The sequence below is a fragment of the Homo sapiens genome, chromosome 7 (genome assembly GCF_000001405.40).
Source record: "Homo sapiens chromosome 7, GRCh38.p14 Primary Assembly".
Lineage (NCBI taxonomy): Eukaryota > Metazoa > Chordata > Mammalia > Primates > Hominidae > Homo > Homo sapiens.
The window spans coordinates 117,649,334-117,671,279 of NC_000007.14; the positions used below are offsets into that span (position 1 = coordinate 117,649,334).

At 38.2% G+C, this 21,946-nt stretch overlaps 1 protein-coding gene across 1 annotated transcript in view, besides 6 other annotated features; it reads left to right on the forward strand.

The window, feature by feature from the left end:
- CFTR (CF transmembrane conductance regulator) overlaps nucleotides 1-19,332 on the forward strand; it is a 188,641-nt gene extending 169,309 nt beyond the window's left edge. Inside the window, exons 24-27 of the mRNA NM_000492.4 lie at nucleotides 3,509-3,598; nucleotides 15,355-15,527; nucleotides 16,126-16,231; nucleotides 17,575-19,332. Of these exons, the coding sequence (NP_000483.3) occupies nucleotides 3,509-3,598; nucleotides 15,355-15,527; nucleotides 16,126-16,231; nucleotides 17,575-17,775 (570 nt within the window). The 3' untranslated portion in view covers nucleotides 17,776-19,332. The remainder of the gene's footprint in view (nucleotides 1-3,508; nucleotides 3,599-15,354; nucleotides 15,528-16,125; nucleotides 16,232-17,574) is intronic.
- Nucleotides 9,772-11,695: an enhancer, noted in NCBI's record as "PE1.9 fragment used in the pGL3B-245/PE1.9 reporter construct". NCBI's record gives its function as "modestly activates a basal CFTR promoter in transfected Caco2 cells" and the evidence as "EXISTENCE:reporter gene assay evidence [ECO:0000049][PMID:11856314]".
- Nucleotides 10,125-11,125: a DNaseI hypersensitive site, noted in NCBI's record as "DHS21 or 4095 + 7.2 kb DHS; the nucleotide coordinates are approximate for this feature". NCBI's record gives the evidence for it as "EXISTENCE:in vivo cleavage assay evidence [ECO:0001075][PMID:10708521]".
- Nucleotides 16,362-17,762: a DNaseI hypersensitive site, noted in NCBI's record as "DHS23 or 4374 + 1.3 kb DHS; the nucleotide coordinates are approximate for this feature". NCBI's record gives its function as "accessible chromatin region in HTE and NHBE airway epithelial cells {active_cell/tissue: HTE | NHBE}" and the evidence as "EXISTENCE:in vivo cleavage assay evidence [ECO:0001075][PMID:19897727, PMID:21895967]".
- Nucleotides 16,362-17,805: a biological region, named in NCBI's record as "CFTR intron 23 enhancer". NCBI's record gives its function as "regulatory_interactions: CFTR | LOC111674463 | LOC111674476".
- Nucleotides 16,401-17,513: an enhancer, noted in NCBI's record as "intron 23 fragment used in the pGL3B reporter constructs". NCBI's record gives its function as "activates a basal CFTR promoter in transfected bronchial epithelial 16HBE14o- cells, and also shows cooperative activity with the -3.4 kb and -35 kb CFTR enhancers {active_cell/tissue: 16HBE14o-}" and the evidence as "EXISTENCE:reporter gene assay evidence [ECO:0000049][PMID:21895967, PMID:26615198]".
- Nucleotides 16,606-17,805: an enhancer, noted in NCBI's record as "BRD4-independent group 4 enhancer chr7:117305993-117307192 (GRCh37/hg19 assembly coordinates)". NCBI's record gives its function as "activates an origin of replication core promoter dependent on BRD2, P300/CBP, MED14 and CDK7 cofactors, and independent of BRD4, by STARR-seq in HCT116 cells {active_cell/tissue: HCT116}" and the evidence as "EXISTENCE:reporter gene assay evidence [ECO:0000049][PMID:35650434]".

Here is a 21,946-nt window from a genome sequence, read left to right on the forward strand (position 1 = left end):
AGAGATATATATATCTACACACATCTAGATATATATATACATGTATATCTATATATACACACATATATCTGTGTGTATATATACATATGTATATATACCTACATACATATGTACATATACATACATGCATATATCTGTACATATATATATAGTGTGTGTGTGTGTATATATATATATATATATATATTTTTTTTTTCCTGAGCCAAAACAAAATACTAGGTTGTAATAGCTGTTCTTTCAGAAGGAAGAAAAACAACATGTGCTGAACTCTGAGTTTGATGTTTTTGTATTTTACTTCCTATTTTCATATCAGTCCATTTATTTATTCAGGAAGAATTTATTGAGCATATATTATGAACACAGCTTTTGCTAAGGACAGGGTATGCAGCAGTTATGGCCTAGTAGGAGATATGGATGTTAAAAACAAAATGCTCACAAATGCACATATAATCTTAATACTCATTGTAAGCTATGAAAGCAGAGTGTGAGTATTATGAGACCATATGTTGGGAGATTTTATTTGGTATTGAGGATCAGGAAAGATACCCCTGAGGAAGTGATATTTAATTTGAAACCTAAAGAAAGCAGTTGGCCATGGGAAGAAGGTAGGGAATGAGATTCCCAAGCAATAGGAATCCAATGTGTGAAGAAGCTGAGGGAGTGAAAGAAAGCTAGTGTGGTGGCAGGAAGAAAGAGAAGAGAATGGAGAAGGGCACTAAATGAGTCAGAGAAGTAGGAGGGGCTAAACCATGTAGGGTCGTGTAGGCCATCTTAAAGGCCTGAGTGTAGTGGAAAACCTTTGAAGGTTTGTTAAAAGGTCAATGAAATGTTCTAATTTCTGTTGTAGTGAATTGCTTTGATTGCTGAATGCGAATGGATGGGTAGAGATGCAAGAGTGAAAGGGAAGAAATCAATTAGGAGGCTCTTGCCCTGCTCCAGATAGGACTGATAATTAATTTTATTTGGGAAGATCAGGGAGAAAGATAAGTCATGAATGACTCCCAAGTTTCTGGATTGAAGAAATGAAGGTACCATACACTGAGATGGGAAAGCCTAGGGGTAGAGTAGCTTTGAGAAGAAAGGTAGCATTTCCCCATTTCATAAAACATGGAAGAACAAAGAGGCTGGATTCCTGTTTGTAGACATACCTTCCAGGCCAGAACTGCATTACTACAACATCTTTGCAAGCCACATTGCCTTTCATAACTCTGTGTCAGTGTTGATGCCGTAACATCTTTGGCCTTCCCCCTACCATCCTCCCGCAGTCCTCCATGATAATGCCATTATTCCGTTTCAAATTGTGTGCTTCCATTGGATGTGTGAGTCTCCTTGAAAGTTATAATGAGGCTGTAGCCCATATGAAATGCTTCAACTCAGGTCCTGCATAGGAAGAGGAAGCTAATCTCTCCAGGAACTGAGCCTGTGGCTAGAGGGATGGATAATTGTTTAAATAAAGAATATGCTGCTGAGTACTGATGGGCTCTTTATGTACCCATTTGGCTGCTGCTGCCCAACCTTTAATCTTTCCTGAGCTTTAAATAGGAAGGAAAAAATGGTCCACAAAGGATTTGAGCCATTTTGCTGTGGTGATGAGGAGCACGGGTTTAGAGACAAACACTCCTGTGTTTGAATTCCAGCTCCTACTATCTCCTAGCTAAGTGACCTTGGACAAGTCACTTACCTTCTCCAACCTGCTGTTTCTTCATGTACGTAATAGGATTTACCTCATGAGGTTGACATGAAGATTGAAAGAGGTAACATATAGAATGAGCCTGTCCCAGGACATGGTTCATGATAAGTCTGCCATAAATGGGAGCTATGTGTCCCACCCTTTTGGAGGAGATAACTGTTCTGTAGCAGGTAATATATTGTTTGATACTTGGTTAACCCTTACAATTATCATTTCCTGTTCTTCTCAATAATGCTAGAAACCTTTTATTTAAAGAACCACAATATAAAATGAAAAATATATAAAAAAAGCAAATGGAAAAATTCTATTGGCAAGGCTTTTTAACTTTATATACTAAATAAATCCAATTGCTTAAATAATGAACTGACTCAAGTTCTCAGCACTGCTTCTTGTTTAATTCTCTTTAGTTTTTCAGAATTCTCCAATAATGACCTTTGTCTACTCTCTTCAGTTTATTCAGAAATTACTTTTATTTACATAGAAGTTTGGAAGTGGATACACAAACATATCCCTCACATATCTTATGATCCTATGAGTCATATACTCATCTCTTATATTCCCTCTGTAAAGCAATGTAGGTACCTTTCAGGAAGGTGATTTTTATGTAGGTTGAGAAATATCAGCATGGAGGTCCTAGCTGACCTCTCTAGAGAGTTTCTGAGACATTTGACAACAACTTTTTCTTTAAGTCATCAGTTATGCCCCGGGGTATGAAATTTCTAACATGATCCTCAGTAAACTTGGCTGCCTTGCTGAGGATACTCTCCATCTGCCTGAGAGACACAGACACCATTAATTGGGAATTGACTTGACTTGTGTGGTTCCTTGTGGACCAGATGGCCACTAAATATTCTCATTTCAAGGCAATTGGTAAAAACTACACTTCAAGAAATTTCATTCTTAATTCCCCTTAGTGGATGTTATTAACCAAAGGCAAAAGAAAAAAAGGGTAAAAAAAATATTCTAAATGTTAATATCAAAAATATTATTTTCAATTCACCCCAGGCACAGAGAACTAAGTATTATTATTGCTATTGCACCGGCATTCCCCAATGAGACAGTGATTTTCTTTTAAGACATTTTTAAATAATATAGGCAGAATTAAGTAGACGGTGATCTGGTAAGTAGATGTTTCAGGGTAACAGCTGTGCAATGCTCCATGCAGGGAATTAGATTGTCATTTTATTCCTTACCAGGAACATACATTCAGTTAAACAATTATTTGACTTCTGCTCTTCCACTGATTTCTAAGTTGAGGCTCTCTCTTGTGCCTGTCTGATCAGATAAGTAGAGTTGTGCCTTGGTTTATAGATGAGATAAATGTGTATTTGAATAAGCATAAGTTAAAGAAATTTTAAAATCCCTTAGGAAGCTAGGCTTATCAGAGAAATCCAAGGAAATACATTAACAAACTAGGAATTTGTTCTAACAGGTTAATTATAACTCATAAACTTATTGGGTTTTTTTACCTTTTAATTTTATATTACATTTGCTTATAATAAGGAATATTGCTAGGAATAAAATTTTTTAATATTCTACAATTAACAATTATCTCAATTTCTTTATTCTAAAGACATTGGGATTAGAAAAATGTTCACAAGGGACTCCAAATATTGCTGTAGTATTTGTTTCTTAAAAGAATGATACAAAGCAGACATGATAAAATATTAAAATTTGAGAGAACTTGATGGTAAGTACATGGGTGTTTCTTATTTTAAAATAATTTTTCTACTTGAAATATTTTACAATACAATAAGGGAAAAATAAAAAGTTATTTAAGTTATTCATACTTTCTTCTTCTTTTCTTTTTTGCTATAGAAAGTATTTATTTTTTCTGGAACATTTAGAAAAAACTTGGATCCCTATGAACAGTGGAGTGATCAAGAAATATGGAAAGTTGCAGATGAGGTAAGGCTGCTAACTGAAATGATTTTGAAAGGGGTAACTCATACCAACACAAATGGCTGATATAGCTGACATCATTCTACACACTTTGTGTGCATGTATGTGTGTGCACAACTTTAAAATGGAGTACCCTAACATACCTGGAGCAACAGGTACTTTTGACTGGACCTACCCCTAACTGAAATGATTTTGAAAGAGGTAACTCATACCAACACAAATGGTTGATATGGCTAAGATCATTCTACACACTTTGTGTGCATGTATTTCTGTGCACAACTTCAAAATGGAGTACCCTAAAATACCTGGCGCGACAAGTACTTTTGACTGAGCCTACTTCTCTCCTCACTGGTATGGCTCCAACCATCAGGCCCTATCTTGGTCCATTTAGGCTGCTAAAATAAAATACCAAAGACTGAGCTGCTTATAAGCAATCTTTGGAGGCTGAGAAGTCAAAGATCAAGGTGCCAGCAGGTTTGCTGTCTCGTGAGAGCATACTTCCTGGTTCATTGATGGTGCTTTCTTGCTGTGTCCTCACATAATGGAAAGGGCAAGACCTCTCTGGTGTCTCTTTTACAATGGCACTAATCCCATCATGAGGGCTTTGTTCTCATGACCTAATCACCTCCCACATGTCCTACATTCTAATACTATCACCTTGGGGGTTAGGATTTTAACATATGAATTTGAGGAGGTGGCGGGGGGGACACAAATATTTAGACCATAGCATTTCACTCCTGACCTCCAAAGTTCATGTCTTCTTCACATGCAAAATACATTCATTCCATCCCAATAGCCCCCAAAGTCTTAACTTGTTCCAGCATCAACTTACAAGGCTAAAGTCCAAGGTTTCATCTAAATATCAGCTAAATCAGCACAAACAGCTAAATCAGGTAGAGTGGGACTTAAGGTGTGATTCCTCTTTAGGCAGATTGCTCTCCAACTATGAAATTGTGAAATCAAACCTATTATGTACTTTCAAAATAAAATGGTGAAACAGGCACAGGCTAGACAGTCCCATTTCAAAAAAGAGAAATAGAAAAGAAAAAAGGAGTGACAGGTCTCTATAAGTCTAAAACTTTAAGGCTTGAGAATAATTTGCTTTGCTTTGCCTCCAGGCTCACTGGGGTGGTGTCTTACCTCTGGACACACTGGGGTGGAGGCTCTATCCTCATGGATTTGAGTGTCTCATTCTTTGTGGCAGGTCTGTGCTCCAATCCCACACCTATGGCTCCCTGAGTGTGCAATTGCATGCCTGGTGGTTCTACTGGTCTGGGATTGCATAGGTGGCCCAGCCTTCATAGCTCCACTGGGCATTGCCCTAATGTGGGCTCTATGTGGTGACCTCACCCCTGGGCCTCTACCTGGGCCCTGTGACTCCCTGGGTTCTTGAAATCTAGGTGGAGGCAGCCATCCCCCTACAGTTGTGCTGAGTGTAGTGCATGAGTGCTGGGGTCTGCTAGAGCTATACCTAGGGTGGTGGAGATGTATGGCAATGGAGTATGGGGAGCTGATATGGTTTGGGTGTGTCCCCACCCAAATCTTGTCTTGAATTATAATTTCCATAATCTCCATGTGTTGAGGGAGGGACCTGGTGAGAGGTGACTGGATCATGGGCATGGTTTTCCCATGCTGTTCATGTGATAGTGAGTGAGTTCTCACGAGATCCAATGGTTTCATAAGGCAGTTTTCCCTGCTCTTGCACCCTCTTTCTTGCCTGTCACCATGTAAGACATAACTCTTTCCCTTCCGCCATGATTGTAAGTTTCCTGAGGCCTTCCCAGCCATGTGGAACTGTGAGTCAATTAAACCTCTTTTCTTTATAAATTACCCAGTCTCTTTACAGCAATGTGAAAATGTGCTAATACAGGAGCAAAGACTGCAGTGTGAGGTGGCAATGTGAAGTCTGCAATGTGAGGTGGCACGGGGCAGTTGTAGCCCCTCCTTTGAAATCTTTCTTCCCTACCCCAGGCCTCTGCACTCTGAACTATGATGGGAAAGGCAGCTTGGAAGATCTCCAAATGGCTTTGGAGTCATTCTTCCATTGTCTTGGACTATAAATTCTGGCTTCTGTTTAGGTGGCTGACTAATATCCCCACTGTCTGAATGCATAGCACCTAGTTTCTGTTGAGATGGCTAGTCCATAGTAATTTACTTATCAAATTTGGCCACACCCTTTGTATTCTCTCCTGAGCAGGCTTTCTCATCTTTCACAATATGGATAGGCTGAGAATTTTCCAAATTTTGAAGTTCTGCTTCCCTTTTGATCAATAATTCCATTTTAAAGTCATTTCTCATCTTGAATTTTACTATGAGCAGTCAAGAGTAACTAAGCTGCTCCTTCAACTTTGCTTGGATATTTCCTCAGTCAAACATTCAATTTCATTGCTTTCAAGTTCTGCCTTCCACAAAACACTAGGACACAAACAGCTCAGCCAAGTTCTTTGACATTTTATAAGAAGGATAGCTTTTCCTCCATTGTCCAATAACATGTTCCTCATTTCCATCTGAAAACCCATCAGATTGGCCTTTACCGTCCATATTTCTGGGAACATTCTGCTCATGACCACTTAGGTATTCGGTAAGAAGATAGTAGCTTTCTCTATAGCTCTCCTCCTCTCTGGAGCCCTCACCAGAATGGCCTTTAATTGTCCATTCACAGCAATGTAGGCTTTTTCTAGCATGTACCTGAAAACTCTTCCAGCCTCTACTCATTACCTTGTTCCAAAGCTGCTTCCACATTGAGTATTTGTTACAGCAGTACCCAGATCCCAGTACCAATATTCTGTCTTAGTCCATTGGGGCTACTACACGATGTCTTATAAACAACAGTAAAATTTATTTTTCACAGTTGTGGAGGCTGGGAAGTTCAAAATCTGGTGCCAGCAGATTTTGTGTCTGGTGAAGGCCTTCTTCCTCACAGATGGCTGTGTTCTCACTGTGTTGTTACATGGCAGAAGAGTGGGCAGGCTAGCTCTCTGGGATGTCTTTTATAAGGGCAGTAATCCAAATCATGGGTTTAGGGTAGAGCCCTCATGACCTAAATCACCTCCCAAAGGCCCCACCTCCTAATACCAGCATCTTTGAAGTTAGGATTTCAACATATGACTTTGGCAGGGGGACAGAAGCTTTCAGTTTATAGCAAACCCTATAGGTAGCACTACTTTGTCCTTTCCTAATCAATTTGCGTCAATGAAACATGAATTAGAAGAGACCTAGGCGACTCCACTATACTGGGATTATTCCCAGTATAAATTATCATCTCTCCACACCTTCTCATCTACTCCCTATCTGAGTTCTGAAGCTCTCCACTACAAGAAGGAGGCTTTGGTTTGACTTGATATACTTCTCTGGGAAACAGGTTTAGCATAAAACAGTGATGCTCATTCTAGAACACCTGCAAATGACAATAGTTTTCTTTCGAAGTCGCCAGGAATCGTCTGCCTTTGGGTATGTGGCTGTGAGCACTGCCGGGCAAAATGCCATATGACCTAGATGAGGCATATGCCATCCTTTGAAGCCATTAGGACATTATATAGGAAATATATTAACTAAAATGGAATAAAATTTTCTAAATAACACCTTATGTTTATCCAACAGGTGGTTCATTATACTTGAGAGCATTATACAGAGGAATTTGATGGGGAGGAGAGCTGGAGAAATTCTCGAAATTCTGGGTTTCTTTAACAGAATACTCTAGCTATAAACTTATAATTTTAAAAAATAAGCATTATATTAAAGAAAAGGGAACATAAATTATTTTGTTTTATTAAACTTAAGTCCAAAGGTCTGGATTGTGGCAGAATAGGATCAGGGGACCTAAAATGTTGAGCCTCAAAGGTCTTCTTAGAGAACAACTGTATTCCACTATTAGCGCTTTTGGTCCTTTTAGCCCAATTTCTGTTTATCCCAAATGTTCTTCCCTTTTCTGCCTTCCTTCACAGTGGACCCTGCCAGGAGCTTTGAAATGCCTGTGAGTGTTAAACACTTACCCATTGAGTGCCCAACCTTAACATGCCCCTAATAAAATGTACTTAGATTAACCGTTTTCATTATCAAAGTTTCCTTATTACCCAACAAACACAGGCGCTTTAAAGAAAACATTAACTAAATTGCAAGTGACACATTTTAAGATCTTTGATATGACTTCAGAGAATGCACTATAGGAACACAATGCAATGGGAGGGAAACTTGGGAGGGAAGACATTAGCCTTTATAAAATCTGCAAGTATTGCCAAATCAAAATAAAATTTACAGGAAAGCAGGATCATAAATATAATCTAAAATCTTAGAACCTGTGGTTATGATTTTAAATACTAATACAATGCAAAATTTTTACCTGTTTAGGTTTTTATTTCATCAGTTCATATTTAGGTATATACTTTTACTGTTCTCCTTTTTTATAATTTACCATTCACAAAGATGATGATGTTAGTCTAACTTTAATGTCATGAGTGCTTTGAGTAGTAGTGCTAAGTTTTTGTTGAGTAGTAGTGTGCTTTTTTGATTAGTAGTGATAGGTTTTTGATGAGTAAGCCTGCTAGCAGCATACAAACAAACAAGCAAGTATCAGCCTAGAGAAGCAGAAAAGGCATTTGGGTTTCAAAGTCACAAGGCCTAGGCTTTAGTCTAATACAGCTGATAATACAATTTGTCCAAACAGGACATTTTTGGGTGTGTCAAACACTAAACTGGACAGGACATTATGACAAAAGTGCAAAGCAGGACTTTCCGGGGCAAACCAGGATGTATGTCATCTCACTGAGTCCTCTCTTTGTCCTTGCCATGACTAGTATCTCTAGAGGTAAATGAACAGAGTAATGACAAATAGCCAGACACCTGAATCTTATCCCAACAGCACCTCCTACATAATTCCCCATTATCCCAAATGGAAATTAAAAATATATACAGTGATAATTCCAGGCCAAGAAATGCTTTATTTCTAGCTTGGACTTGGCTTCCATGTCCAGTGTAGAATCTTATCCTTGCTGATCTGGACTGTATCTCATGAAGCCATGACTTGTACCTAGTTACTAGCTGGAAGGCTTAGAACAAAAGCTGGTCCAGAGAGCCTCCTTTTTCCTTATTTCCTGGGTCCACACCTTTACCATGGCAGTCTGCCTATCATTTGATGGAGGAATTTAAAGCAAGTCCAAGGGAAGGGAAGAGAGTTTCTAAAATCTAGAACTTGGATAGTTTAATTTACCTATCCCAAAACAGCTTAGGCCCAGACAGCTTCTCTCCAAGATTGGTGCCAAACTGAAATTACCAGCTGTGTAGACCAAAGAGAATTTCAAAAGAAACTGAATCCCAAGAGAAAAAAAAAAGACTTCTGGCATTGTGGCCCAATAAATTGGTAGGATTGTTGTGACTTTTCAAGTTTACATGTAAAATGGGCCCAGCGCAGTGCCTGGCAAATATGGGTACTAAGTAAAAGTAACTATAATCATGTTTTTTTAATCTGGACTTCACTTGGTCATCCTTTAAATGGTGTCTGACAGAATCCTAGTTCTTGTCTCACTTTACTTAGTTTCCCTGGGAAATTTCATGTGTCCTTTTGGCTTTAATTAATATCTCTATTTTGATGACCTCCATTATCTGCCTATTCCCAGAGCTTTCCACCTGATATCTCAGCACATGAAAAGCACCTTATGTCAATAAGTGAGTTCCTTCCCTGCCCCACCACATACCTGTCCTGTGTTCCTAATTCCACTGAATGGCATCCCATCCTCCAGTTTCCCAAGGCCAAGACCTGGGACTCATCTTTCACTCTCAAGTTCCTCCACGGGTACCCACATGTCACATCCTGTCAATGCTGTCCCTGGGGAGTATCTGAAATATATTCACTTTTCTTCATTTCCACCTGACACCACTATTAACACTTGCACAAATTTCTGAGGTTCCTGGCTCATTTCCCTCATTGACCCCCAATAGTTCATTCTGCTCTTTGCAGCTCTGGTGATCTTTCCAAACCCCACATCTGATCACTTGTTTCTTCCCTTCATATGGCTCCTTAATGCCTTCTGGACTAAGTCCACACTGCTTAAGGTGGCTTACCAGGTCCTTCATGATTTTGTCTTTGTTTGGCTTTCTACACTCACTGCCCAACTTCCCCTTACTTCCCATGATTCAGTTATACTGAATTTCTTTGGTTCTCTAAAGCACATGTGCTTTCTGTTCTGCAGAGGCTTTTTTGTTCACTTGCTATTCTCTACCTGGGAAACTCCCCCAGCCCTTCACTGCCTCCTTCTACCATCTTTCAGGCCTCTCCTTACACATCACTTCTTTCCAAAAATCTGCCTTGACACTCCAGGTCTCGGTTTCCTAGGTGTACCCTATAACTCCACCCCTTTCATAGCATTTCTCACTCTGGCTGGAGATTTACCTTTTAACTTGTCCATGTCCCCCACTGGAGTGGAAGTTCCTGGAGGTCAGGGATTATATCCTATTAATTGTTGTATTTCCAGTGCCTAGAGTAGTCTTGCATACATGGATGGTATTCAATAAATATTGGTTGAATGAATAAGGAGTTCTTTCATTTCATATGTAATAGATCATGGAAATAGCCTTGTGATTGATACACAGCAGGTATTACCATCCTCACTTTAGAATGAGGACTCAGAGCCTTGAGATGTCTGAGGGCCTTGACTGGGACAGCTGGCAGATGCAGGAGCAGAGCTGCATCACCCCTGTGGGCTATCTCAGGGTTGTCTGTAATCTAAGTACAATGTCTGTTGATTTTGGACTGAAGGCTTTTTGGGTAATTGTTTGCTTTTTCAATACTTATAAAATAGTTTCCATCCTTACTCATTGATAGTAAGGTTAGTTATTTTAGAAAACAAGCTAAATAGCAGAAATAGTGGCCTTTTAAGTTGAAAATTTACCCTGAAAAATCTACAGAGTAGCAAACAGAGTATCAAAAGGAGTTGACTGTATCTATTTTTATAACTGCCACTTATGGATTATTCAGTAAAACCACAATTCACTTTTATGATTTTTTTTCATGTTTCTCTGTCACAAGAGCAAACTCTTGCTCCATAATAACATTCCAGAATACAGCAATAGCAAAAGTCAACATTTTGAATCCTTTACAAACTCTTAGACATTTTTTTTTTTTTAGTTTAACATGTTACAAAACAAAATTTCTTCTTTTTTCACAGCAGTTTGGGAAGTACATACTATTTATTAGCTCATCAGCATGAAGCTGGAAAATTCTTTTTCCTAAAGTTCTTTATATCTACAAACTGTTGATGTTTTCATTTATTTATTTTTAATGCTACGTTGTAATGAAAATCATTGGAAAACTTTAGATTCTAGTAATTTTGAAGTCTTCTTAGTTTGGACAGGACTGAGCTAAAGTTTGTACTTTTTTTAATTTATTGAAAAATGGTTTCTAATGATAGTATTAACAAGATTATATTGGGGGCAGGACGCAGTGGCTCACACTTGTAATCCTAGCACTTTGGGAGGCCGAGGCGGTTGGATCACCTGAGGTCAGGAGTTCAAGACCAGCCTGGCCAACATGTAGAAATCCCCTCTCCACTAAAATACAAAAATTAGCTGGGCATGGTGGCAGGCACTGTAATCCCAGCTACTTGGGAGGCTGAGGCAGGAGAATTGTTTGAACCTGGGAGTCGGAGGTTGCAGTGAGCCCAGATCGCACCACTGCACTCCAGCCTGGGCAATAGAGCAAGATTCTGTCTCAAAAAGGAAGAAAGAAAGATTATATTGGGGATATATATGTGTGTGTGTGTGTGTGTGTGTATATACACACACATATATATATACATATATACATATATATACATATTTAAAGGATAAAGGATTCTGCTGCCACAGATCACTAAATCAGATGATCTCTAGCAATTTCCTGTTTGTTTGTTTTTTGCCCATAGTGCTTATCTCTTTGAACAGTAATTTTCCACTTACTATTTTTCTCCCCTTTTGGACCATAATTTCCTTTAAGGCAGAGCCTCCTGTTACTCATCTTTGAATCTGGGGTCTGTCAGAGTACCTAGAATTTAATAAACTCTCATTAAGAGCCAGTTGAAAGAATATATGACTAAGCAGTCATTTACATCCAAAAGATCCGTAGGAGAATTCTTATCAGCACATGTGATTGGTAACAATAACTTTGTACTTTTCAAAAACAATTACTAATCTATCTTGCTTTCCATTATCTCACCAAAACCTATTAGCATGTCTGGCAGAAAATAGATACTTAATAAATTTCTTAAATGTTTACTGACTTCAATTTTAAGTTTTATTAACTATGTTGACTTTTCTCTAATGAAGATGATTCTAAAAAGCTTTTTACTATACTTCACAGTGAATAAAACAGTGAGATAGGAATATTGCAAAATGTCCCCTGTGTTGGTCAGTCTTAGTGTCATTCATTTTAAAAATTCTGTTCTCTAAATATTGACAGTTATATATAAATTTATGTAATTGTTTACTTCTAATAAAGAATTTCATCTGGGGAAAAACATACTTTGCTCAGCTCTTTGCCACAAGTGCAAAGTCTAAGACAGTCAAATAGCTTTCCTAGTACGGCCTTAGGAACTTAGTATATGACTGGTGTGAATCTAGAGGGAGCATACTGCATTCTGACCAAAATCTCCACCCTGTTACTATGGCCATCACTAACTTCGCAGTATTGCAGTACTTCCTGCTAGCTTAGTTCCCAAGGCAACTTGTGAAGGAAAATTTTTACAAAGCTGTTGTCACACAAAGGTAGTGTTTCAGTTCCTGAGCCCATGTCCTTGGAGTTGCCCAGGCTCCAATAATACTAATAATTACTGTACATTAGGTACTTACCATGTGCCATATTCTGTGGGAGCCGCTTTCCACAAATTATCTCTGGTAATCCTTGTAACAACCCTTTGACATCAATATTATTATTTTCTCCATTTTTTTACATATGAGATAAATGAGACTTAAAATAATGTGCCTGATATCATCAGCAAATGAGCTGAGGAGGGCAGATTCAAAGCTGATTGTGTTTGACTCTAGAGCTGCAGTCTTAAGCCAGACCTTTTCTTGCTGGTTAATTTTACTGAAAAAAAAAAAAAAAAAAAAAAACCCTCAAATACTGCTGATTGATCTAAAGTACTAACATTTCTATCAGTGTTAGGGAAATTTTAATTTTATAATTTGATTTTGTGAGAAATTTATAGCATCTTGAATACTCACATGCAAAGTGATATGTCTTAGATAACATTTTACAATGGCAGAGCTTAAGCCAGTGCTCAGTCATTCATTCATCCTCAAGTTTTGATTCATTTATCATTCATCAAAACTCTGTTTTGTTTGGCCACCCACATTCTAGGAGCTCAGTACATATTTGATAAATGAATGAATTGTTGAGGTTGACAGTTACCCAGGACTGGCATTAGGAACACAGAGCTGAAGAGCACGTTTTTACCCTCAAGAAGCTTACAGTCTAACGAGGGAACTTGCACAAATACTACTATCACTAGGTGCCTGGTTGAATGGCTTAAGAGATGATCAGGGATATTCAGAAGGATATGTCAGGCTCAGCAATGGCATCACTTGAGAGCATCAAGGTGTTTAGGGAACTACAAGATGTTTGGTTCTGCTGGGAATAAGAGTGAAGGGGGCTCCATTTGGATGCCTCATACACCAGGTGAGAGATCTTAGATTTTATTCCACCAGGAGGAGAACTACCATAGGATTTAAAACAGAAATGATATGGTCAAACCTACATCTTAGGAAGATCCCTGGGGTGTTTGTATGGTGGACTTGCAATTTGACTAATTGAGATTTGTAGGATGATTCTTAAGAGATGATGATGACCCAGACTGGGATCACTATAATAGAGTTGGTAAGGAGGAGAATGATTTAAAAAGTAGTTGGAAGAATTCTAGGGATGGAGATAAACATTTGAAAATTATTAACTTATAGGTGGTCATCAATACCCTGAAAATGACTGGGATCTCAGAGGAGAGTCTGGAGAGTTGGAAATGACAAAGACTAATATTCAAGGGGGCAGGAAGAGGGAGAGTTGTTCACACATGACAATAGGAAGAAATGGCCATAGAGTGTGTGGTTTCTCTCAAGCCAAGGAATAGATGTTTTAAGAAAGGAAAATTCTTGTGGTGGGAAGCAGTAGAGATGACAGATACACATTAATTTCTTGAGATTTCTAGATGACTAAATGGGCAGATGTTGAATGATAGCTAAAGGAGAACCCAGAAACAAGGGAGGGATTTTGTTTTTGTTTTTTAAAAAAGATAGACCATAGCAGCTTCATAGACTGAAACAATAAAAAAGTTGAAGGCACAAAGAAAGACACAGGTCCTCTAACTCCCTGCCCAGTGCCCTTTATTCATATTCTCAGCACTTGTATTTCTAAGTTTTATGTTTGAGTCTTCGGGGATACATCAGAGTAGTCCCCCTTGTCTAATAAATGTGTTTACATTTCCTGCCATACCAGAAACCCTTCTCAAACTTTAATGAATTTCTACAAGGTGAGATTACTTTAATGAGAAACCAACCAAGGAAAGGAGTATCATCTGCAATATACTTTCAAATGTTTTTTGCTTGTTTGTTTCTTGTCCAGCTAAAAAAAAAAAAAAAAAACAAGCCATTGGTCCTAACACAACTTTCATATTCTACCCCAATATCAAAGAGGCTTAAAATCTCCTGGTCGTGTGATGGGCACACAGTTAATTTTTTGTGAACAAACACAGTGTTATGGGCCATTTCTGAATTTATCTCTGAAATCATAAGATTCTTTCTGAGCCATTATCTCATTCTATATTACAGTCAGGTGGAGCCCATCTTACCTCCTCATACTAAATTCTAGACTTCTCAAGGGCAGGAGACAATCATCTGTATATCTCTTTGGCCTTCATACACTCAGGAGTACTTGCCAAAAATAAACATTTAATGCACATTTATTTGAATAATTGATAAGATCCAATACTTCAATAACTTTGTCATATTTTTATAGAATGGGTTTCTATATCTCATTTGCATTTTCAAACTTTACTTTTACTGTCTAGCTTTAAAAAAAAAGCCTTTGACTCTAATACAGCCCTCATATTCTACCCCAATATCTAAGAGGCTTTATATCTCCTAGTGTTGTACCACTATTTTAACTCCAGTATTTTTTACTTCATAGTTTTACCTATTTGTTACAGTTAGTTTTTATGAATTCAAGAGATGAATAGCAATTTTCCATATGTAATTTAAAAAACCCCACAGTTGACTATTTTATGCTATCTTTTGTCCTCAGTCATGACAGAGTAGAAGATGGGAGGTAGCACCAAGGATGATGTCATACCTCCATCCTTTATGCTACATTCTATCTTCTGTCTACATAAGATGTCATACTAGAGGGCATATCTGCAATGTATACATATTATCTTTTCCAGCATGCATTCAGTTGTGTTGGAATAATTTATGTACACCTTTATAAACGCTGAGCCTCACAAGAGCCATGTGCCACGTATTGTTTTCTTACTACTTTTTGGGATACCTGGCACGTAATAGACACTCATTGAAAGTTTCCTAATGAATGAAGTACAAAGATAAAACAAGTTATAGACTGATTCTTTTGAGCTGTCAAGGTTGTAAATAGACTTTTGCTCAATCAATTCAAATGGTGGCAGGTAGTGGGGGTAGAGGGATTGGTATGAAAAACATAAGCTTTCAGAACTCCTGTGTTTATTTTTAGAATGTCAACTGCTTGAGTGTTTTTAACTCTGTGGTATCTGAACTATCTTCTCTAACTGCAGGTTGGGCTCAGATCTGTGATAGAACAGTTTCCTGGGAAGCTTGACTTTGTCCTTGTGGATGGGGGCTGTGTCCTAAGCCATGGCCACAAGCAGTTGATGTGCTTGGCTAGATCTGTTCTCAGTAAGGCGAAGATCTTGCTGCTTGATGAACCCAGTGCTCATTTGGATCCAGTGTGAGTTTCAGATGTTCTGTTACTTAATAGCACAGTGGGAACAGAATCATTATGCCTGCTTCATGGTGACACATATTTCTATTAGGCTGTCATGTCTGCGTGTGGGGGTCTCCCCCAAGATATGAAATAATTGCCCAGTGGAAATGAGCATAAATGCATATTTCCTTGCTAAGAGTCTTGTGTTTTCTTCCGAAGATAGTTTTTAGTTTCATACAAACTCTTCCCCCTTGTCAACACATGATGAAGCTTTTAAATACATGGGCCTAATCTGATCCTTATGATTTGCCTTTGTATCCCATTTATACCATAAGCATGTTTATAGCCCCAAATAAAGAAGTACTGGTGATTCTACATAATGAAAAATGTACTCATTTATTAAAGTTTCTTTGAAATATTTGTCCTGTTTATTTATGGATACTTAGAGTCTACCCCATGGTTGAAAAGCTGATTGTGGCTAACGCTATATCAACATTATGTGAAAAGAACTTAAAGAAATAAGTAATTTAAAGAGATAATAGAACAATAGACATATTATCAAGGTAAATACAGATCATTACTGTTCTGTGATATTATGTGTGGTATTTTCTTTCTTTTCTAGAACATACCAAATAATTAGAAGAACTCTAAAACAAGCATTTGCTGATTGCACAGTAATTCTCTGTGAACACAGGATAGAAGCAATGCTGGAATGCCAACAATTTTTGGTGAGTCTTTATAACTTTACTTAAGATCTCATTGCCCTTGTAATTCTTGATAACAATCTCACATGTGATAGTTCCTGCAAATTGCAACAATGTACAAGTTCTTTTCAAAAATATGTATCATACAGCCATCCAGCTTTACTCAAAATAGCTGCACAAGTTTTTCACTTTGATCTGAGCCATGTGGTGAGGTTGAAATATAGTAAATCTAAAATGGCAGCATATTACTAAGTTATGTTTATAAATAGGATATATATACTTTTTGAGCCCTTTATTTGGGGACCAAGTCATACAAAATACTCTACTGTTTAAGATTTTAAAAAAGGTCCCTGTGATTCTTTCAATAACTAAATGTCCCATGGATGTGGTCTGGGACAGGCCTAGTTGTCTTACAGTCTGATTTATGGTATTAATGACAAAGTTGAGAGGCACATTTCATTTTTCTAGCCATGATTTGGGTTCAGGTAGTACCTTTCTCAACCACCTTCTCACTGTTCTTAAAAAAACTGTCACATGGCCAGGCACAGTGGCTTACATCTGTAATCCCAATACTTTGGGAGGCTGAGGTGGGGGGATTACTTGAGGCCAGGAATTCAAGACCAGCCCAGGCAACATAGTGAGGCCCCATCTGTCTTTATTAAAACAAAACAAAACTGTCACAGCTTCTTTCAAGTGATGTTTACAAATTCCCTATGGTTTAGTCACAAGGAAGTTCTGAGGATGATGTATCACGTCATTTCTGTTCAGGCTTTTGAGCCTCCTGGAGGTAAATGGTTTCCTTACTGAAGGCTTGTTATTACCATGATTATCACTAAGCTTGAAGTAACAAATTAGGGGGGCAGACTCACAACCTCTTGCCCTGCCATGGACAAGTTCAAGAATCTAAGTAAAGTCCTCTATTGTCTGATCTTGGATTTGCTCAACCTGAACAAGCCAAGGAGGTGTATTAAACTCAGGCACATCCTGACCAATTTGGAATTCTTAAGCTTCAGATCACTGTGGAAGAGGCTCAACTCTTTATGGTGCTGTAGACTTACGCTCATTTTCTAGGTAATTTATAAGGGACCTAATATTTTGTTTTCAAAGCAACTTCAGTTCTACTAAACCTCCCTGAAGAATCTTCCAGCTGCTGAGTAGAAAATCACAACTAATTTCACAGATGGTAGAACCTCCTTAGAGCAAAAGGACACAGCAGTTAAATGTGACATACCTGATTGTTCAAAATGCAAGGCTCTGGACATTGCATTCTTTGACTTTTATTTTCCTTTGAGCCTGTGCCAGTTTCTGTCCCTGCTCTGGTCTGACCTGCCTTCTGTCCCAGATCTCACTAACAGCCATTTCCCTAGGTCATAGAAGAGAACAAAGTGCGGCAGTACGATTCCATCCAGAAACTGCTGAACGAGAGGAGCCTCTTCCGGCAAGCCATCAGCCCCTCCGACAGGGTGAAGCTCTTTCCCCACCGGAACTCAAGCAAGTGCAAGTCTAAGCCCCAGATTGCTGCTCTGAAAGAGGAGACAGAAGAAGAGGTGCAAGATACAAGGCTTTAGAGAGCAGCATAAATGTTGACATGGGACATTTGCTCATGGAATTGGAGCTCGTGGGACAGTCACCTCATGGAATTGGAGCTCGTGGAACAGTTACCTCTGCCTCAGAAAACAAGGATGAATTAAGTTTTTTTTTAAAAAAGAAACATTTGGTAAGGGGAATTGAGGACACTGATATGGGTCTTGATAAATGGCTTCCTGGCAATAGTCAAATTGTGTGAAAGGTACTTCAAATCCTTGAAGATTTACCACTTGTGTTTTGCAAGCCAGATTTTCCTGAAAACCCTTGCCATGTGCTAGTAATTGGAAAGGCAGCTCTAAATGTCAATCAGCCTAGTTGATCAGCTTATTGTCTAGTGAAACTCGTTAATTTGTAGTGTTGGAGAAGAACTGAAATCATACTTCTTAGGGTTATGATTAAGTAATGATAACTGGAAACTTCAGCGGTTTATATAAGCTTGTATTCCTTTTTCTCTCCTCTCCCCATGATGTTTAGAAACACAACTATATTGTTTGCTAAGCATTCCAACTATCTCATTTCCAAGCAAGTATTAGAATACCACAGGAACCACAAGACTGCACATCAAAATATGCCCCATTCAACATCTAGTGAGCAGTCAGGAAAGAGAACTTCCAGATCCTGGAAATCAGGGTTAGTATTGTCCAGGTCTACCAAAAATCTCAATATTTCAGATAATCACAATACATCCCTTACCTGGGAAAGGGCTGTTATAATCTTTCACAGGGGACAGGATGGTTCCCTTGATGAAGAAGTTGATATGCCTTTTCCCAACTCCAGAAAGTGACAAGCTCACAGACCTTTGAACTAGAGTTTAGCTGGAAAAGTATGTTAGTGCAAATTGTCACAGGACAGCCCTTCTTTCCACAGAAGCTCCAGGTAGAGGGTGTGTAAGTAGATAGGCCATGGGCACTGTGGGTAGACACACATGAAGTCCAAGCATTTAGATGTATAGGTTGATGGTGGTATGTTTTCAGGCTAGATGTATGTACTTCATGCTGTCTACACTAAGAGAGAATGAGAGACACACTGAAGAAGCACCAATCATGAATTAGTTTTATATGCTTCTGTTTTATAATTTTGTGAAGCAAAATTTTTTCTCTAGGAAATATTTATTTTAATAATGTTTCAAACATATATAACAATGCTGTATTTTAAAAGAATGATTATGAATTACATTTGTATAAAATAATTTTTATATTTGAAATATTGACTTTTTATGGCACTAGTATTTCTATGAAATATTATGTTAAAACTGGGACAGGGGAGAACCTAGGGTGATATTAACCAGGGGCCATGAATCACCTTTTGGTCTGGAGGGAAGCCTTGGGGCTGATGCAGTTGTTGCCCACAGCTGTATGATTCCCAGCCAGCACAGCCTCTTAGATGCAGTTCTGAAGAAGATGGTACCACCAGTCTGACTGTTTCCATCAAGGGTACACTGCCTTCTCAACTCCAAACTGACTCTTAAGAAGACTGCATTATATTTATTACTGTAAGAAAATATCACTTGTCAATAAAATCCATACATTTGTGTGAAACTTTGTTGTTTTCAGATGCGTTCACTTGTCATGTTTCATCAGTCTCTCACTCCAATTTCTAAGCTTCATGGAACATGAAACACGAATCTGTCTTTTAGATATAGCCTCTTTTGAGAATTCACATGAATTAGAACACACATTTTTAGTTATCTGTTTAAACTATGGTAAAATATACATAACATAAAATTTTCCATTTTAACCATTTTAAAGTTCAGTTCAGTGTCATTAGGTACATTCACATGGTTGTGCAAATATCACCATCATCCTTCCACAGAATTTTTTTCTTGCAAAACTGAAACTCTTTTTACCCGTTAGTCAATAATCCCGCATTTATCTTTCCTCTAATGCCTGGCAACCACCATTTTACTTTCTGTCTCTGATTTTGACTACTCGAAGGACCTAGGAGTGGGATCATACAGTATTTGTATTTTTGTGCTTATTTCATCTAGCATAATGTCTTCAAGCCTCATCCATGTTGCAACATGGGTCAATTTTCTTCCTTCTTAAGGTTGAATAATATTCATTATAGAGTAGTCCCCCCTTATCCTTGGGGAATATGTTCCAAGACCCCCAATGGATGCCTGAAATCACTGATAGCACTGAACCTGATTACTGTGTTTATTCCTATACATACACACATACATATGATAACATTTAATTTATAAATTAAGCACAGTAATAGATTAACAACAATAATCATAAAATAGAACAATTATAACAATATATTATGACACGAGCGATACAAATGTGGTCTCTCTCTTTCTCAAAATATCTCATTATACTGTGCCACAGGTAACTGAAACCACAGAGAGCAAAACCTTGGATAGGGGGACCACTCTATAAATATGTACCACATTTTTCCTCACCCATTCATCCATCACTGGCTACTTGGTTTGCTTCCACTTTTTGGATATAGTGAATAATGCTTCTATAAATATGGGTGTACAAATGTTTCTTCATGTCCCTGCTTTCATTACTTAGGATATGTTTGAAGTTATTTTTATTTTTAAATGGAGGCTTATAGAACACAAAAGATTTATATTCTGCAAGTGTCCATCTATTTCTTTTAAAGCTTATTCAAAAAGTGGTAGCTATCTCATAGCTCTTGGTAAGTTAAAAATCTTCATCAACGAAAATACTATTTCTGCGTTGGCACCTGCATGGATTTTCTTTGTCCAAATCCCTCTTTTTAATTGATGAGGCTTCTTTAGTTCCTTTTTTTCTTCCTTGTTGAGCTTCTTCATGAAATGTGCAGTTGCTAGCATGTGGTGGACGGACTGCAGATCCCTACTGAATGCCAGGCCCTCCGGCCCTGTGTTCTCTTTCTTGGAGAGGTTTGTTTTCACACGTAACCCCAAGAGGGCAGTCTCAGAGCGTGTTCTAGTCTAGTTCTTTTTTTAAAATTACTAAACTTTATTTTTTTTAGGGCAGTTTTAGGTTCCCATCAAAATTGAACAAAAAGTATGGAGAGTTCACATATAACTTCTCCATACATGATAGCCTCCCCCATTCAACATCCCACACTAAAGTAGTACATTTGTTACAACTGTGAAAGCAAATAGAATTTCAAGACCCCAAGCTCACTATGCCAAAGGGCAAGTTAAGCTTCAGAGCTGAATTACTCAATATTGCCTTCCTTTTGTTCCCTAACAGCCGTAACTTCACAATCTTGTGTGATAGCCTCATCCATAAACCAGGTTCCCACAATGATAGAAGGCCACATATCTCCCCAAATGACCTCCCTCACAATTGTGCCCAAGGAAAATCCTTGTGAGACCCTATCTTTTAGGATACATATCCCTCCTATAAAATAGCCCTAAAACTGAGTTATGTTGAATTTCACCCTGATGATGTCAATTACCAGCTTGTCTTCATAGGCACAGGACGCGGGCAAGACCAGAAATCATCGTGCTGTCTACCCTGCAATGAACACATAATTGACTTTTCCTTTACTCCCTCTTTTTACCTATAAAATTTGGATTTACTGAACACTAACCAAAGCCTCCCCTGAATAGAACCATTTGCCTCACTGCCTACCCTCTATCCTCTTTTCCTTCTCCGTGTTTGCACTTTACTCTTTAAATATTAAAGTTCCCAAACCCTCTTTGGAAAAGCACAGGTCACAGATGCTCCTCTGGCTTGTGTTCTTCCTGGGTGCATCTGCAAACTTTGGCTAAACAAACCTCTATCGATTAAGACACCTGCCTCAGTCACTTTTTCCTTAACACAACCAATGAACCTACATTGACACATTATTATTGCCCAAACACAATAGTTTATATTAGGGTTCATTATTGGTATTTTACATTTCATGGGTTTGGACAAATGTGTAATGACAAGTTAACTACCATTACAGTATCTTACAGGGTAGTTTCACTGCCCAAAAAATACTTTGTGCTCTGCATATTCATTCCCCTTTCTCCCCTAACTTTTGGCAACCACTGACCTTTTTATTGTCTCCATAGTTTTGCCTTTACCAGAATGTCATCTACTTAGAATTACGCAGTATGTGGCCTTTTCAGATTGGCTTCTTTCACTTAGTAATATGCATTTAAGTTTCCTCCGTATCTTTTCATGGCTTGATAGCTCATTTCTTTTTAGTGCTGAATTATAT